The sequence below is a fragment of the Homo sapiens genome, chromosome 8, assembly GCF_000001405.40.
Source record: "Homo sapiens chromosome 8, GRCh38.p14 Primary Assembly".
NCBI lineage: Eukaryota > Metazoa > Chordata > Mammalia > Primates > Hominidae > Homo > Homo sapiens.
The window spans coordinates 51,011,994-51,016,154 of NC_000008.11; the positions used below are offsets into that span (position 1 = coordinate 51,011,994).

Consider the following 4,161-nt stretch of genomic DNA (forward strand, 5'->3'; position numbering starts at 1 on the left):
TGAGAGGTAGGGAGCAGGTTTTATACTTCTGCATCTGGTCAGCCAGTTTCCCAGCACCATTTAATAAATAGGGTATCTTTTCCACATTATTTATTTTTGTTGACTTTTCCAAAGATGGTTTGGTTGGAGAGTTGCTGCTTTGTTTCAGGGGTCTCTATTCTGTTCCATTTCTCTATCTGTCCGCTTTTGTATCAGTACCATGATGCTTTGATTACTGCAGTCGCGTAGTATAGTTTAATGTCAAATAATTTGATGCCTCTGGCTTTACACTTTTGGCATTAGATTGCCTCAGCTACTCAGACTCTGTTTTGATTCCATATAAATGTTAGGTTTTTTTTTAATTCTGTAAAAACTGACATTATTAGTTTGATAAGAATAGTGTTGATTCTGTATATTGCTTTCAGCAGTATGAACATTTAACAATATTGATTCTTCCAATCCATTTGCATGAAATGATTTTTCATTTGTTTGTGTCAACTGTGATTTCTTTCAGCAGTGTTTGTTTTGTAGTTCTCCTCATAGAGATGTCGCATCTCCTAGGTTAGATGTATTCCTAGGTACTTTTTTCTAGCTATTATGAATAGGATTGCATTCTTAATTGGGTTCTCAGCTTGAATATAACATTCAAGCTTATAATAAGCTAATTACAAGTGATATACACTTATAACAAGTGTATAGAAATACCACTTATTTTTGTGAGCTGATTTTGTATCCTGAGACTTTGTTGAAATAATTTATTAGATTTAGGAGTCTTTTGGTAGAACTTTTAGGATTTTCTAGGTATACAATCATATCATCAGTAAAGGGAGATAATTTGACTTTCTCTTTTCTTATTTTGATGCTTCTATTTTTTTCTGTTTTCTGATTGCTCTGGCTGGGACTACCAGTAATATGTTGAATAGCAGTGGTGATATAGACATTCTTGTCTTGCTCCAGTTCTTAAGAGGAATGCTTCCAGCTTTTGTTCATTCAGTATGATGTTGGCTGTGGGTTAGTCATAAATGCCTCATTATTTTTAGGTATGTTCCTTCAATGCCTGGTTTGTTGTGGGTTTAATCATGAAGGGATATTGGATTTTGTTTAATGTTTATTCCATGTCTATTGGGATGTTCCTATGATTTTTGTTTTTAAATATGTTTATGTGGTGAATCACATTTATTAATTTGCATATGTTGAAATATCCTTGCATTTCAAGAATAAAGCCCACTTGATTATGGTGAATTAACTTTTTGATGTGCTGTTGGATTCAGTTTGTCAGTATTTTTCAAAGATTTCTCCTGTGTTAATCTGAAATATTGGCCTGTAGTTTTCTTTTTGTTGTGTCTTTGACAGATCTTGATATCATATGATACTGGTGTTGTTGAATGAATTAGGGAAGAGTCCTTCCTTCTCGATTTTGTTGAATAATATTAGTAGGACAGGTACCAACACTTCTTTGTACATCTGATAGAATTTGGCTGTGAATCCAGCTAATCCACAAGGCTTTTTTTGGCTGGTAGGTTTTTATTACTGATTCAATTTCATTATCATTATTATTCTGTTTGAGATATCAGTTTCTTCCTAGTTTAATATTGGGAGGGGTTGTGTGCACCTAAGAATTGATCCATTTCCTTTAGATTTTCTAGTTTGTGTACATAGAGGTACCTAGTAGGTCTCTGAGGATATTCTGTATTTCTGTGAAATCGACTGTGATGTCACCTTTGTCATGTCTGATTCTGCTTATTTGGATCTTCTCCTTTATTCTTTGTTAATCTAATTAGCTTCAGTCTATAAATCTTATTTATTCTTTCAAAAAACAGAGTTTTCATTTTATTTATCCTTTGTATTCTTTTGATACCAATTTCATTTAGTTCTGCTCTTATTTTAGTTATTTCTTTTATTCTGATAGTTTTGGGTTTAGTTCGTTCTCGTTTTTCTAGTTGCTTTAGGTGTGAGGTTAAGTTGTGAATTTGAGATCTTTCTACCTTCTTGATGTGGTCCTCTAGACCTATAACTTTCCTCTTAAGACTGCTTTTGCTGCATACTAGACAATTTTGTAAGTTGTTTCTGTATTTGCATTTGTTTCAAATAAATTTTTCTGTCTCTGCTTTAATTTTGTTGTTTATGCAAAAATCACTCAGGAGTAAATTGTTTAGTTTCTACGTATTTGTGGTTTTGAAAGTTCCTCTTGTTATTGATTTCTATTGTCATTCCAGTAGAGTCTGAGAAGATGCTTGATATAATTTCAATTTTTCAAATTCGTTGAGACTTGCTTTATGACAGATCATGTGGTCAATTTTAAAGAATGTTCCATGTGCAGACAGGAAGAAGGTATATTCTGTGGTTGTTGGGTGGATTATTCTATAGATGCCTCTTAGGTCCAAATGGTCAAGTCTCAAATTAAAGTCCAGAATTTATTTGTTAGTATTCTGCCTTGATAATCTGTCTAATGCTGTTAGTGGGGTGTTAAAGTATCCCACTATTATTGCGTGCCTATCAAAGTCTTTTGTCTAGAGATAAGTGTTTTATGAATCTGTGTGCTTTGATGTTAGGTGTGTAAATATTCAGGAGAGTTAGGTCTTCTTGAATTGAACCCTGTATCATCATGTAATGCCCTTATTTGTCCTTTTTTTACTGTTGTTGGTTTAAATCCTATTTTATCTGATAGAGTAATAATGACCCCTGCTCTTTTTTGTTTTCCATTTGTCTGCTATGGAAAACAAAAGTAAATGGTTTTCCATTTCCATCTCTTTACTTTGAGCCTTTGAGTATTATTACATGTGAGATGGGTCTCTTGAAGGTAGCAGAAGAATGGGTCTTGTTTTCTAAATACAATTTCCACTCTGTGTCTGTTAAGTGGAGTGTTTGGGCCATTTTATATTCAAGATCAATATTAACATGTGAGGTTTTGTTTCTGTCATGGTGTTGTTAGCTATGTGTTTTGTAGTCTTGATGGTGTAGTTGCTTTACAGGGTCTCTGGGCTATGTGCTTGCATGTGCTTTTATGGTAGCAAGTATTGTTCTTTCATTTTCATGTTTAGAACTCTTAATCTCCTGGGATTGTGTCTGGCGAGTGCCCAGTATTCTGCCACCTTCAGAAGGAAGGGAAAGCAAACCTTCATGAAAGCAGAGGCATTCATTCCATTCCCAGCTTGCTCCAGATCTGGCAGTTGGAAGACATTCTGCAACAATGTCAAATCAGATGAACAAACAAAAAAGAACTCCCTTAAGCATCTCTTACGGAGCCAGTCTGGTAGTGATAAATTCCCTTAACAATTGTTTCCCTGAATTTTATATAATTCCCTGAATTTTATATAATTATATAATTCCCTGAATTTTATATAAAATATGAATTATATATATGAATTTTATATATATGAATTATATATATATTACATGCAATGAAATAATAATTATATATATGTATATATATTCCATTATTTCTGTCCCTCTAGAGAACCCAAATACAGGTGTAAACATGATGTAAGATTGTCCAGGGAAAATTTTCTGAACTGTGATGTTGGACATGCCAGAGGAGACTTTTACTGGAAAGAATTTTTTAAAAAGTATTCCCTGGTAAACATAAATTGCCACCACTTTTGCTATTACATCAGCCAGGTCACTTCCATCAACACAATTATTATTATTACAGAGCCCTGATTTTCTTCTTTCACCACACTTTATAATTACTTACCTGTGCAATGTGTAGGACACCTTGAAGATGAGGGAAATTACAGACTTACTCCTTCTGGTAATGGCATTATAGGTACTTTGTACCAACATTGCCACTGAGAACAACTAAAACTGCCAGATAAAATAAGGAGGGGAAAGGCCATGATGTTTGTGTACTCCTGGTAGAGAGCACAGAAGGTCAGCAGAGCACTAAAGGTCATTTTTTTAGGGGGTGGAGATAGGCCAAGGGCTTACTTTTAGCAGGCTCAGGAGGCCCCAGGACAGAAATAAAGGCTGAGATAGTGCTCAGTGAGGAATGTAATTGAGGAAACACTGACACTTTATGCTGAGATCCTAATGGTTACATTTCAGAGTCAGTGTGAACCAGTTTCGATTTGTTTTACTCCTACTCCAAACCGGGAAATTGGGCAGCAAGCAGATTAGGGGATGAACAGTAAAGGAAGGCATCCTGGCCTGAGAAGTGTTGACCTTTGTGCCTGTGAAGTGCCA

General features: G+C 34.8%; 1 non-coding gene across 1 annotated transcript; it reads left to right on the forward strand.

The window, feature by feature from the left end:
- Positions 1 to 3,027: 3,027 nt before the first annotated feature.
- Positions 3,028 to 3,172, forward strand: LOC124902078 (small nucleolar RNA SNORA7). Its single transcript, XR_007061203.1, has one exon. It is a non-coding gene; the product is annotated as a small nucleolar RNA SNORA7 (small nucleolar RNA).
- Positions 3,173 to 4,161: the final 989 nt, after the last annotated feature.